The sequence below is a fragment of the Homo sapiens genome, chromosome 20 (assembly GCF_000001405.40).
Source record: "Homo sapiens chromosome 20, GRCh38.p14 Primary Assembly".
Classification (NCBI taxonomy): Eukaryota; Metazoa; Chordata; class Mammalia; order Primates; family Hominidae; genus Homo; species Homo sapiens.
In genome coordinates, this window is record NC_000020.11 from 12,052,882 (window position 1) to 12,066,924 (window position 14,043).

The 14,043-nt window shown below is 43.8% G+C and overlaps 2 annotated features.

Annotated features, from left to right (window-relative positions):
- Nucleotides 377-1,576: an enhancer, noted in NCBI's record as "CDK7 strongly-dependent group 2 enhancer chr20:12033906-12035105 (GRCh37/hg19 assembly coordinates)". NCBI's record gives its function as "activates an origin of replication core promoter dependent on BRD2, BRD4, P300/CBP, MED14 and CDK7 cofactors, with strong dependence on CDK7, by STARR-seq in HCT116 cells {active_cell/tissue: HCT116}" and the evidence as "EXISTENCE:reporter gene assay evidence [ECO:0000049][PMID:35650434]".
- Nucleotides 12,967-13,516: an enhancer, noted in NCBI's record as "H3K27ac-H3K4me1 hESC enhancer chr20:12046496-12047045 (GRCh37/hg19 assembly coordinates)". NCBI's record gives its function as "activates a minimal SCP1, AML or CMV promoter by ChIP-STARR-seq in naive H9 embryonic stem cells {active_cell/tissue: H9 hESC(naive)}" and the evidence as "EXISTENCE:reporter gene assay evidence [ECO:0000049][PMID:30033119]".

Below are 14,043 nucleotides of genomic sequence, written 5' to 3' on the forward strand. Positions count from 1 at the left end.
GTGACTTTGCCATTAGAGTGAAAGCCAAAGTATTTCTGATGGCCTGTAAAGCCCTCCAGGATCTGGCCTTCTCCTCTCCTCCCACTGTCTCTTAACCTAGCTCCTTCTAGCCACAGCATCTTCTTTGCTTGTTTTAATTACCTAGTGCTATGACCACCCCCAAGACATGGTGGTTTAAAACAACAGCAATCATTTATTTTGCTCACAACTCTGCCATTTGATCAGAGGTCCCTCATTGCTGCTGTACATGGTGTCAGCTGAGGGGACTCAACTGGAGGCTGGAGGATCTGCTTAAGAGTTGGCTCATTCACATGGCGGCAGGCTGTGAGCCGGAGGCTCAGCCCAATCCCTCTCCATGTGGCCTCTGTGCAGCCTAGGCTTCCTCACAGCATGGAGGCTGTGTCCCAAAGGTGAGTCTTCCAAGAAAGAGATTCGCACACAAGCTCTACTGCCTTTGACAACCTAGCCTGGAAGTCACATAGCATCCCTTCTGTCATACTTGCCATTCTCTACCAGTCTGGGCAATCCCAAAGGCCTATCCAGGTTCCAGGACAGGGGACATGGACTTCACCTCTTGATGGGGTGGGGGATGGCAAGGCTCTAAAGGTCACATGGGATGGAAAATGTGGTGGCTATTTTAGGAATGTAAAACCTGTGGCTGCAGCTCTTACCTCAGACATGTTTCCTGCCAGTGCTTCCTCTTTGTCTAGGGTTGCATGTGACTCACTCCTCATTTCCTTTACATCTTTACCCAAATATTTTCTTCTCTGCAAGGTCTTCCCTGGACAAAAACTAAAACCCATTCTGCTTCCTAACCCCTTTCAGCACTATCTACATATTGTACATTTTACTCATTTATTCTGGTTTTTACTGTGTCCTCCATGAAATTACAAATTTCCATGAAGGTAAGGGCTTTTGTCTGTTTTATTCATTGCTTATTTATTTATTTTTGAGATGGAGTTTTGTCCTTTTGCCCAGGCTGGAGTGCAATAGCACGATCTCAGCTGACTACAACCTCCGCCTCCCGGGTTCAAGTAATTCTCCTGCCTCAGCTTCCAGAGTAGCTGGATTACAGGCACCCGCCACCACGCCCAGCTAATTTTTGTATTTTTAGTAGAGATGGGGTTTCACCATGTTGGCCAGGCTGGTCTTGAACTCCTGATCTCAGGTGATCTGCCCTCCTTGGCCTCCCAAAGTGCTGGGATTACAGGCTTGAGCCACCGCGCCTGGCCTGTTCATTGCCCTTTTCCCAGAGCCAGGAGAGTGTCTGGCACATACTGGGGGCTCAATCAATACTTGCCTCAGTGAGTTAATGAACTTCTGCCCTCATAAGACAAGAAACAGTAGCGGCCATTTTCCACATTTTCTTTGGTCCTTGGGTGCCTACCACACTGCCAGGTACGTAGACCCTATAAGATTATTTAATTAGTGATTCACTAAATATAGCAGTTTGAAACGACAGCAATCATTTCTCAATCTGAAAAAATAATAGGCCAGCAGCGTTCCATTCACAGTCACTTATTCGTAATGCATCCCCCTGCCCCATCTACAAAGTTACAGTGCTAGCCAATACGGACACTATTAAATTCTGCTCTAGAAGTGCTTCTCCTGCTTCTGATTAGAGCCAGGAAGTTAGAAGAACAGACAGAAGAAAATCACACAGGATGCCCAGGAGACAAGACACAATTCTGGCAGCAAACCTGTGGGTGTCCGCTTGATGTTCCTGCCATTGTCTATTGTCTGAAGGGGTTGACCTGTAAGTCAATGGGAAGGTGGCTTTCCCCCAGTCTGGTTCAATGTTCACAATTCCAGTAATAAATATCTTGGAAAATGGGAAGAAAGCAGGAAGACAATTACTTCAAATATTATTGTGCAATCGATGGGGTAATTTTGCTCTCCTTGAGGAACGACCTTTCTTATTTCAGCATCGTTCTTTAAACAGGGAGTCACCACCTTGTGCTTGTTAGCACATTCTCCGAAGGTGTTTGGAGTACAGTAGTGACATTTCAAAATGGATTAATCAAGGATGCTCTAAATTGGAGGTGTTCTTGAATTTCATTTAAATATGATTTACTAAAGAACCCAAGTTGGAATCAGGCTGGAATGCCCTGGGTGCCATCATCATCCTAGTCTGTTCTGAGATGGACTTATGATGACATTTCAACGTATTTAGCATTTGACAAAGTTTTTCCCCAGCAAAAGTAAAGGGAAATAAGAACCACGGCCTTGCCAAACAGCTTTAACTTGGTGTACACGGTTACAGGAGCGACCCGGATGTACTCCTTGCGTCAATTTAGCATGCAGAGTCACCATCACGCTCCTCTACAAGGGCACTGAATCTGGGACTGCCTGGAGACAGGCAGAGTGTGGCCATTTCTCCATGTCTAGGGAGTGTACGGGGCAAAGGAGATCCTAAGGCCCTGCCTGGGTTGCTTCCTCCTCAAGCAGAGGTTACAAGAATGAAGGGACTTGGCATGCTTTCAAGTTCATCCAAGACTATGTAAAAAGAATATAAACCATTAATGTAATTTATGGGCAGAAGCACTTTGAATATAAATGAAGCAACCAATGGCCCTTTTGATTGGCATTTATATCTCCTTTTATAGAGATCACATAGAGTAGTGTTATAATTCTTGACAGTTTTGATTGTAAAATATATGGGACTTTAAGCTCCCTGGAAGAAAGCAGAGATGATTAATATTAATAATAGCTAAGTACACAACAGATATGAGTAATATGTTTTATATTTATATATATCTATTGTTTTAACTCATTGGAAAACACTATATGCTTTATTATTAGGAATGTAGTAATAATAAGACTATGTTATCTAGGTCACATAAAAGAAGATGTTCAAGCTAATCTCTAAATCCTATTAATTTCTTTACTTACATTAAAAAAAAAATAGTCAATTGGCTCTACTATTCAAACTAATGTATTCAAAACAATGTGCCTTATTAAAGGTATAGATCAAAATTCAAATAACTTGGTTCAAATACAGTCAGTCCCAGAGTCATTCGGAAGTGTCAAGGAAGAATGCAGAGCTCTAAAAAAAAAAAAATAAAATATAAGAGATCAAGAAAATCAAAGTATATTCATATTAGAGCAGTTAGGGTTTTTTTTTTTCTATATGCAGGATGCTGAGTGAAGCAACTCTGGGCTCTGTCAGCAAAAATACGGTTTTAATAAGAGTGTATATTGTTATGGGGGAAGCTATTTCAATAGAAAATGTACATATCTTAGATTATCTCTAGCACTTGGAAAATTGCAAAATGTTTTATCACCTCTATTTTCCACTTCCTCCTCTCTTGCCATGACTCCATCCATTGCCATGTGGAATAAGGTATAAAGGGAAAACAAAAAAGCTTGGACATTGTGATCAGCTGAATTTAAGGTTTGCCTTAAAATCAAAATAGAGCAAATCAATAAGTAAATTTCATATGTATCGAGTCTTCATTCAAAAGGCATTTTGAATGCTTTAAAGAAAAATATAATAGGTTACAGGTGAGAAAGCAGTGAAATGTGGGTAAATATTTGTATAATATGTGGAAAATGTGACCAAAAAATGACCAGTATACATACTGTATTCTGGAAAATCCCATGCACTTGTTAGAGGTGAAACATAAATTGCAATAGGAGTTTCTCTAAACCAAACAGCTTGTGAAAACATAAATAGTTCTGTAGTTTACAGAACCTTAACTGCTCTTCTCAAAAAATATACCTATTCGATTTTCTAAGATTTGAAAGAAACTTTTGCTCTCATTTTATTTTGTATTTTTGTTGTTTATTGCATCTTCATTCCCCCATGGGCTTTTAAAATAAGATTCTGATGATGGAGAAAGAAATGAATGCTGCTCCTATCCCCTCTGCAATTTGCTGTGGTTTGGAAAGCCCATTCTGTATGAGGAGGTGTTATAACTTCCCACTGTACCATATGCTTCTGACTTCGTATACCTTATTTTTAGTGATACATCCATTAGCTTTTGCTTCATAAACTATCCCAAAACGTAATAGCTGAAACCAACAATCATTTATTTGCTCATCCTTTCATGGGCTGGACTAAACCAGGTCATTCTTCAGCTTGTCTTGCCCAAGCTCACTCATGGAGCTGCTGCCTCCCTGGCAGCTTAGCCAGAGCTGGAGGGGCTCAGATGACCTCACTCACAGGCCTGGTGGTTTGCAGATAAAAGGCTCGGGGCTTTGGTTTTCTCCATTTAGCTCCTTCAGCAGGCAAGCTTGAGCTCCTTCAAATTGTCTCAGACTTCCAGCACACAGAAAAATGTGCAAGCACATTTCAAGCCTCTTCTCTCATTTGCTGCTGAAGTTGTGTCAGCCAAAGCAAATGTTATTTCCAAACACTGATTCAAGGATGAAGGAGAAAGACTTTACTTTTATAGGCAGGACAAAGAATTTGTGGCCATTTTTTTTTTTCATTCTACTACAAGTTCAATTTTCCTGCCGCTGCTGGAGAGAAGGAACCACCTTCCCCTTGTTTACATGGTTGCTTGAATAACAGAATAGTAGCTGCTATTTTTTTGCATAAAATCATGTGTCTTATGGGGAGAGAAACTATGCAGACTGTGAGATGCTGTTTCGGAAGAAGAGGGATTCACCTCTCCAGCTGATATGGCAGGAAATAAGAAACCATATGATCTAAGAGGTGCTGGGAGAGTAAAAAAAAAAAAAAAAAAAAAAAAGGTAGAAATGAGTAGAAATGATGCAGGTGGAAATTGTGTGTGAATGCATGGAAATGCATGTGAAGTGAGAGATGAATAAATTTGTATTTCAGTCTTAACTAGTTTTGTTTTTGTTTTTTTTTATGGCAAAGGAAATAATTTTTGAACAATTACAAATAGACTTTTATAAATTATTTTCCTAGGTCCACAGCAGGTTGTGGGGTAAGTTAGAGTAAAAATTAAATATGTATTATCCTAAGGTATTCTTTCTCTGGCAGGACCTTTCAAAGTGCCTTCTTTTATTTCTGGCAGTCCCCTGGCTGCAACTCAAACGTTCTCACCATCACAGTCTTCTTTGCTAGCATGTGGTGACTACCATTTTCCCTGCGTCAGTTCCCTGCAGAGATGTCAGCTGCTCGGGCCGCTGATGCTGGCCAAAGCCCTTTGAAGATTCTGGGGGTACTCAGGTGCTGATGCAGGCTTTGTCTCCCACCAGTGATGAAAGTGCTGGCTGCATTGTTGTGGGATCAGCAGGTGCCCCCTTGTGTTCTTATAGCCTTGTAAAGGTTTTTCCGTAATAGCCACCTATCGATTATGTTGGCTCTTGCATTTTTTTCTTTGACTCAGTTGCATGACTTCTTTTGCAGTCATTTTTTAGTTTTTTGTCCAAATAGAGCTGTGGGGGGCCTACTTCGCAGGTCCTTAATATAAACTTTGTATCAGTTACCTATGGCCATGAAATGTGGTGTGACAATCTTATAACCGCATGAGTTCTTCTGGCTGCTGGGGGACTGTGGCTCACAAGTCTATCTGTGGTCAGCTGTGGGTACTTAGGCAGCTTTGTGGCATCTCTAGGGAATGTAGCTTAAGAGAACTGGCTCCACTCCATGTCTCATCGTTGAGCAGGCTAGGCTGGGATTGCTCTCATGCCTGTGACGGGGTTCCAAGAGAGAGGGAAGTGCTTAAAGCCTCTTGAGGCCTAGGCCCAGAATCTCCACAATGTCACTTCTGTAGTTCAGAGAAAGTCACCAGGCCATCCCAGATTGAAAAGAGGGGGGAATAGACTATCTCTTAATGAGAGAAACTACAAAGCCACATCAAAGAGGACATAGAGGTAGATAAGGATAGAGAATTAGGGCCAGCTTTGCAATCAATCTAACTACCACGCACCTAAACACCTCTGAGTCCTGGGGTGAGCACAGTTTGGCAACCTGGACAACTCTAGATGCATGTTAGAAAGATTAATTTGGTAATCCTTCTAAAAGGTGGATGATAAATTGACTCCAGTTGTAACAGGGGAGGTTGGTGCAACCAGCAAAGTGGCTTTTGCCTTAATACAAGTGATAAATCAGGAGGGTCTGGGATAGGGATAGCAAATAAGTTGCACATTGTGTGATGGATTTGTAGTAAATGCCTAGAGTGGGGTGTTGAGGAGAATTATGTGGCTACTTTCCTGGTGAGCTGAACACAGGCCCTGATGGATTGGCTATGTTCGCCATGGCCATTGAAGGGAGGAGTGATAGCATGCCAGCAAGTATTTGCCATCTCTGTCCTATCAAGGGCAGTGATAGTCCTACAAAGGCCAGTGGCAGTTTCAAAGAGTCTTTTGAAAATAATCAGGAGGTAAAACTAGACAATATTGGTGACTAAGTACAAATGAAGGGAAACTATAAGTCTAGGAGAGTCTTAGATATTGGACTGGGTACTAGGTGAATGTCATTTCTTAAAGTGGGTCAAGGCATGAGTCTGTATTATATACATCAGTATTGTACTGTATCATACTATATAAGGAGTACATTTTTTTTCTGTCATCTACTGATGCATAACAAACCACCAAAGAGGTTAGAAGCTAAGATGGTTAGTCTTATGTGTCAACTTGACTGGGCCATGGGGTGCCCAGATATTTGGTCAAACATTATTCTAGGTGTTTCTGTGAGGGTATTTTTAGATGAGATTCACATTTAAATCAGCAGGCTGAGTAAAGCAGATTGCTCTCCCTAATGTGGTTGGGCCTCATCCAATCAGCTGAAGGCCCAAATAGAACAAAAGGCTAACACTCCCCCAAGTAAAAGAGAATTTCTACTGCCTGAGAGTCTTTGAACTGAATCATCAACTTTTTTCTGCCTTCAAATTCAGACTGAAACAGTGGCTATTCCTGGGTCTTGGGCCTGCTAGCCTTCAGACTGGAGCTTATACCATCAGTTCTACCTAATCTGTTCTGCTGATTCTCAGGCCTTGGGACTCAGATCAGAACTACACCATTGCCTTTCTTGTGTCTCCAGCTTGCCGGGTCACCCTGGAGACCTTGAGCTATCTCAGTCTCCATAATCACATGAGCCAATTCCTTATAATAAGTCTCTTTCTGTATTTATATACTTCCTATTGGTTCTGTTTCTTTGCAGAACCCTGACTAATACCGATGCTTAAAATAACTATTCTACTTCTCATCATTTTGTAGCCCAGGCATTTGGACAGGGTAGAGTGAAGATGTGCTGTATCCTCTGGGGCCACCAGGCTTCTGCCCATGGCCTCGCCCTTTCGTCGTGGTCCCATCACACAGAAGTCTAGTCTGAGCTTATTTATAGTTTGGGAGCAGTCTCCAGGAGCAAGCATTCCAAGAGGACAAGCTCTTGTTAAGCCTCAATTTCTATCACATTTGATAATGCCCATTGGCCAAAGCAAGTCCCATGGCCAAGGGCACAGTCAGTGTGAGAGGGGACTACACAAGGGTGTGGATGCCTGGAGATGTAGATCACTGGGGCCATCAAAGTAAAAGTTATTACTAAGAAGAGTTTGATGAGTTTCATCTTAAGCATATTGACTCTGATGTGTCTATATGGGAACAAAGTAGGAAAAGCCAAATGACAATATGGGTCTGAGGCTAAGAAAAGATGTTTGAGTTGAATAGATACATTGGGAAATCATGAATATAAAGACGGGGTAATACAAAAATATTTAACAATCAGCACAACATAGACACTGACCAATCAGAACAGATGCTGGCTATAACCTTGAACCAGGGCCCCAGAGGACCCCTGTTAAGCCAGGCATCTTCCCTTTAGATACTCGGTCATTGAGAGATGTCAGGAGTCTCAGGAAAGGGGCAGGGCAGTTAGGGCACTGGGAGGGCTCTGATGGAAGGAAGACAATGGGCAACAGCTACTTACTCATGAGTAGGAAACATGGCAGTATTTTAACAACCCATCTGAGTATCAGCCCATCGTACAGGCAGTAGCTACAGCCATGGGTGGTGTGGTTAACAATTAATGGGATAGGGCATTAGGTTAAACCATATGATATGACCAACATTTAACCACTTTTGGCCTATGCAAAACATAATTTTGCATGCTTCAACCTAATCCACAATGAGACAAACATAAGCCTAAGATGGACACCAAAATGTAACTAACAGGCAAGTGACCAAGAGGATCCCCCAAAGGAAAATGAAAGGAATGGCTCAATGGAAGTTAAATGAAGAACAGCACACGTGAGGGAGGGAGTGGGCAAATGTCTTGAACATGACAGAGCTCCAGGAAGATGAGGACTGTGTCTTTTGTTATTTGGCAAGAGGAGGCTGTTGATGACCTTGGCAAGTTCAGATTCAAGGAAATGGTCAGGGCAGAAGCCGTTTCAGAGTCTTATGAGGCACCTGGGATGTGAAAACTTGACAAAGATGGGTTTAGAATAATATTTCAGGAAGCTTTGCCTGACAGTGAGAAGAGAGACGGTAATTTATTGGGAAGTAGGGTTAGGGGAGCATCCTGTCTTTAAAGATGAGAAAGGTTTGTTCACTTGTATATGAGAAATGGAAAGAATACTGAACGAGCTTCAGTTGGATGTTGTAAAATATGTTAAAAAGGTAAGCTGGTGGGTGAGAAGAGTGAAGTCTAAGGGCTGGGAGCCCTGCATTCTTGTCTCAGTCTAGAGGGCCAGTGGCAAATTTTTCTTCATGAACAGTGATTCTCATCCTGACTGCATAGTTCCTGGGGAACTTTAAAAATTCTCCATGCTCAAGTCTCACTGCAGACTGATTACATGGAAATCTCTGGGGATGCACCCAGGCCTCTCAGGGCCCTTTTAAAGCTCCTGCCTTATTGCAGCGTGCATCCAAGATTGAAAACCACTGCTGTAGAATGTACATAATTTATCACCTATTGCTTCAGCTTTGGGGCTTCAGCCAAAATTCTGACATGGTGGATAAAGCCCTACTCAACATTCACTTAAGCTACCATCAGTGCCAGTGGCTTTCCTTGATGACAGTGGCTGCTGCAGACCTTCTCCCAGGCTAGTGGTTCTTAACCCTAGCTGTGTATTAGAATATCTGGGGCACTTACAAAATACTGATGTCTGGGCTTCACCCTAGAAACTCTGATATAATTGTTCAGGGGTGGTGTTATGGCTGAATTGTGTCCCCCCAAAAGATATGTTGAAGTCCTGGCTGGGTATGGTGACTCACGCCTGTAATCCCAGCACATTTGAGAGGTCCAGGCAGGAGGATTGCTTGAGGCCAGGAGTTTGAGACCAGCCTGGGCAACACAGTGAGACATCATCTCCACAAAAAATAAAAATATTAGCTAGGCATGGTGGCACATGTCCGTGGTCAGAGCTACATGGGAGGCTGAGGCTGCAGTGAGCTGTGTTCATGCCACTACACTCCAGCCTGGGTGACAGATTGAGACCCTGACTCAAAAAAAAAAAAAAAAAAACAAAAAAAAGATATGTTGAAGTCCTAAGCCTTAATACCCCCAGAATGTTATTTTATTTGGAAATAGCATCTTTATAAAGGAATCAAGCTAAAATGAAATCATGAGAGTAGATCCTAATCCAGTATGACTAGTGCCCTTATTAAAAGTGAACATTTGAACACAGACGCAGACATGCACAGAAGGAAGGCAATGTGGAGAGACACGGGGAGAACACCATGTAAAAATTAGATTGGCATTATGCCATCACAATCCAAGGAATGCCTGGAGCTACCAGAAGTCAAAATAGACAAAGAAAGTTCTGCTACAGGTTTAAGAGGGAGCATTCAACATCTTGATTTTAGATGTCTAGCCTCCAGGACTGTGAAACAAGAAATTTCTGTTGTTCTAAGCCACCTAGTTTGTGGTAGTTTGCTGTATCAGCCCTAGGAAATTAATATAGGTGGGCTTGGACACTGATGGTTTTAAAAGTTATCCAGATGATTACAGTGTGCAACTGGCATTGATTTTCATAATGATTAAGGAAATTAAGTATATAGCAGGCATAACCTAAGTAGAAAATAATGTCAAAATCAGTTTCAGAGCCATGCAAACATAATTATCAGAAGTATAATATTTAAAACTCAGTAACATGCTGAGTCGTTTTAATACATGGTTATATATTTCTTCTTAACTTGGGGCTTTGCATTAGCAGAGAGGCATTTGCTATCTTGCCCCTCTGTAATTTCTTGCTTGGATGCTCATTGTTAGTATAATTTCTCACCTTGAGTGATGAGATTCTGGATTTCCACTTCATGGGTGCTTTATAGTTCTCCTCATGGTGTATCCTTTCTTTTTCATACCTAAGGGCACTGTCTTGCCCTTATCCCTATTGGACTTTGTCCTTTTCATTTATAATGTTACAGTTCTCCAATCTGTCAAAGTTACTTAGAATTCTGATCTTGCAGTCCAACATTCTAATTTCTGTCACTCTAGGAGAGTCCCCAGGACAATTGAATTAAGAATTATATGAACTACAGGAGGAATCAATTTGGAGAACATCAGATAATGGAAGGTTTATTATATTGTGTACTGCATTAAAGTGTAAAGATGTATAAAAGATAAATGGTCAATGCATGAATTATACAAAGAGTTCCTTAAATGAAATTGTTGGATCAGTCCTTGCCCAGGCACAGTGTGAGATGTAGAATCCTGTCACTGTCACTCAAAGTGTGGTCCACAGACCAGAAGTCTTGCATCAGCCAGGAGCTGATTAGAAATGCAGAATCTCAGACTTCACCTCATATCTACCATTATGGGCTAAATTGTGTCCCTATAGCCCCTAGATTTATATGTTACAGTATGTTGAAATGTGACCATATTTGGAGATAAGAAATTTCAACAGATAATTAAGTGAAAATTAGCTCCCGAGGGGTGGGTAATGCAGTATGACTGCTGTCCTAATCAAAGAAGAAGTTTGTAGACAGATGTATACATGCACAAAGGAACGACCATGTGAAGACAGAGGGTGGAGAGGGCCTTCTACAAGCCAAGGAGAGAGGCCTAAGAAAAAATCAGCTCTGCCAACACCTTAACTTGAGATGTTCAGCCTCCAAAACTGTGAGAAAATAAATTTCTGTTGTTTAAGCTTCCCAGTCTTTGGCAACCCCAGAAGATTAGTACACCTACCAAATTAGAATCTGCATTTTTAGTAAGACCCATAGTTGACTCACATATATAAGAAAGTTTTAGAGGCACTAGTCCAGAATACTGGTTCTCAACCTTTAGCGTGCATCATAGTTACCTTAATAACTTGTTAAAATACAGATTGCTGGGCCCCACCACCCCCAGAGATTCTGATTCAGTGGGTGTGGGATGAGACCAGAAAAGTCTGCATTTCCAACAAGCTACCTGGCAACGTTGGTGCTGGTGGCCTGCAACCCACACAAGTGTTACAGTTGGGACCAGAAAATTACCAGCCTCACCTGGTTATTATTAGAAAAGTAACTATGGAGGCCTCAGCCTAGAATTCCTGAATTAGAGACTCAGGGGCAGGGCCCAGCAAGGTAATTCTCAAGCTTTAGTTTGAGAACTGGTGCTTGATAGTTCAACTAAATCTGGGAAAAGGAACCATGAGTAATTTAAAATACTCGCTGCCCACAGGTGATCATTTGATGTTTTTCTAGACAGCATGTTCTCACCCTTTCAGCTAAAAATTGCCAGAAAACGATTCTGGGGCAGTAGTGTTACAGGATCTTTGGGGTGTAGTTTTTCTGGCCAGAAACATGTGTGGCCTGTGTGCCTTTGCTCAAGTTTTGCTCAGGCCCACTCGTTTTGCTCTCTCAGGCTGCTCTTGGCTCACGCTACCAGCCTGGGTCCCATGCCTGCCAAGGGTGAGTCAGGCATGGAATGGCGAGGGGTGTGTGAGTGAGCATGGGGTCTGGCCACTGTGCACAGTTACATATACAGGCTGCTGCAGCAGGTCAGGAAACTCCAGGTGCCAACACAGGTGCCAGCTCTCTGCAAGGCTTCAGCTGGACCAGGCACATCACAAGTAACTTGTATGGCTGACACCAGGGAACACGGTGGCACCCAGAAACTTGGAGATGCCAGGGACTGCAGGGCCCCAAAGAGGGAGTCAGAGCCCTGGCTCAGGGAGCTCCCAGATCTGGGCTCCCTGACGGGCTGCAGCTCTTCTTTCCTTTTCTTTTCCTGCAACTTGACAAGCAAGGAGCATGTCTCAACCCTGTTTGTGTTACAGTTCTTTTAGCCTTGCCATTTGGTGGGTCCTGAGTTCTCGTCCTGCAACCAGGAAGAATGAGGTATGCAGACAAGTGGAGGGTGAGCAAGATGAAGAGGAGCTTTATTGAGCGATAGAATAGCTCAGAGGAAACCCACAGGGGGCAGCTTCTTTCTACATCCAGGGTGTCCTGACAAGTGTTCAGCTCCTAGCAGAGAGGGTAGTTCCTTTCTGCTAGGCAAGTCACCCTGACAAGCTATCAGCAGAGAGGGCAGCTCCTGTCTGCAGCTGGTTGTCTCGTCGTCTGCATAGCTCTCAGCAGAGAGGATGCCCTAGAGTAGGTGGCTCCTCTCTGCAGGCAGCTTGTCCTGTTATCTCCCCATCATCTCTCTGTAGTCTCTGTACTCTCAGCAGAAAGGATACCTTGGAGCAGGCAGCTCCTTTCTGCAGGCAGGTCGTCCTGACCTCTGTAGCTTTCAGCAGAGAGGAGGCCTTGAAATGGGTAGTTCCTGTCTGCAGCCAGTCATCCCTGCTCAGCTCTGGCTGAGCCTGAGGCTTTTATGGGCCTCAGGGTGGAGGAAGTGTGTGACGACTGGTCCACGGGCAGGCCCAGAAAAGGCACCACAGGTTCCCTCTCCAGTCCACGGGACTGGCAGCCTGGCATCCATGCTTCAGGCCCTCCCTGGCCTGAAGGTGGGGCCTCATCAGGGACCTACTCCCTTCCTCCCAGGAACTTGTCTTCCTCCTGCTGCTGTTCATGGCACCAGGCTTTAGGTGCCATTGGGCATCTGCAGGGCTGCACTGAGCTGCCCTCAGCTGCCCATCAGGTTCCTTCCTATGCTGGTCAGCGCCCAAAGTCTGGAGGGGGTCGAGGCAGCAGGGGTTTGGAGTGTCAGCACTGCCCTGAGTGTGTGCACACACAGCCAGGCTGTGACAGTGCCCAAGTTCTCCCCTGACTTTGCTCTGAGGTCAGAGCAAATGCTGACAGCAGGAAGAAGAAGCCAGGCAGTGGGAGCAGGCATTTTTAAGCCTGCAAGGGCAGAGAGGGGGACCTTCCCAGGCTCCCAGGAGTGCAGGGATGCCTGGGTCTGCAGCCGTGGTTTGGGCAGCTGCAGCTGTGTAGCAGGAGGTGGGGTGCTTCTGCCTGCTCTGTGGAGTGAGAGGCCCAGGTCTGCAGCTGTGATTTGGGTAACTGCCCCCAGGGGAGCTCCCACCCCATCAGCTTGGAAGAAGTGGGGCTCCCACTTGTCTCTGGTTCCCACTGGCTCCACAGAGGGTGCAGCCCTGGCCACACCTCCCTGCTGCTGCCAGCGTGATGGCAGTGGCTGCTCCAGGTGGGCCACCACTGCCATCAATAGCTAAGTCAATGGCTCTCAAATGTGAACGTGTGTCAGAATCATCTGATCATTACTCCTTTCCCACAGTTTTTTATCCATTTCGTCTGGGGTCGAATCCTAGAATGAACATTTCTTAAATTCCCAGTTGACTCTTATGCTGCTAGTTCAGGAACCATATTTTGACAATCATTGAACTAAGGGCTTGTAAAATAGTGTGACGTGGGTCAGAATGCTTGATTTCCTGGCCCATGGCAGGCGCTATTGGCTAACCAACAAAACACCCATTCCTGACCCACTTTTTCTTCACCTTTCACCAATATAGAAGCTAAGAAAAGGTAAATGGCCACTTTCTCAGACTACTTTGCAGTTAGGAGTGAGCCTGTGACACTGTAACAGATTTCTAGTTAACGGTACTAAGCAGAAGTCTGCAAGGGATGAGAATCAGTTCTGGGAAGGTTATTGCTCTACCTAATCACAAATCAAGCACCATATCCTCCCCTTCTTTGGCTTTGAGCACAGATATGATCCCTGGAACTAAAGCAGCCTTCTTGGGGCCATAGCATACATACATAAAGGAAGAGACCAACAAAATAAAGTTGGCATGTGGC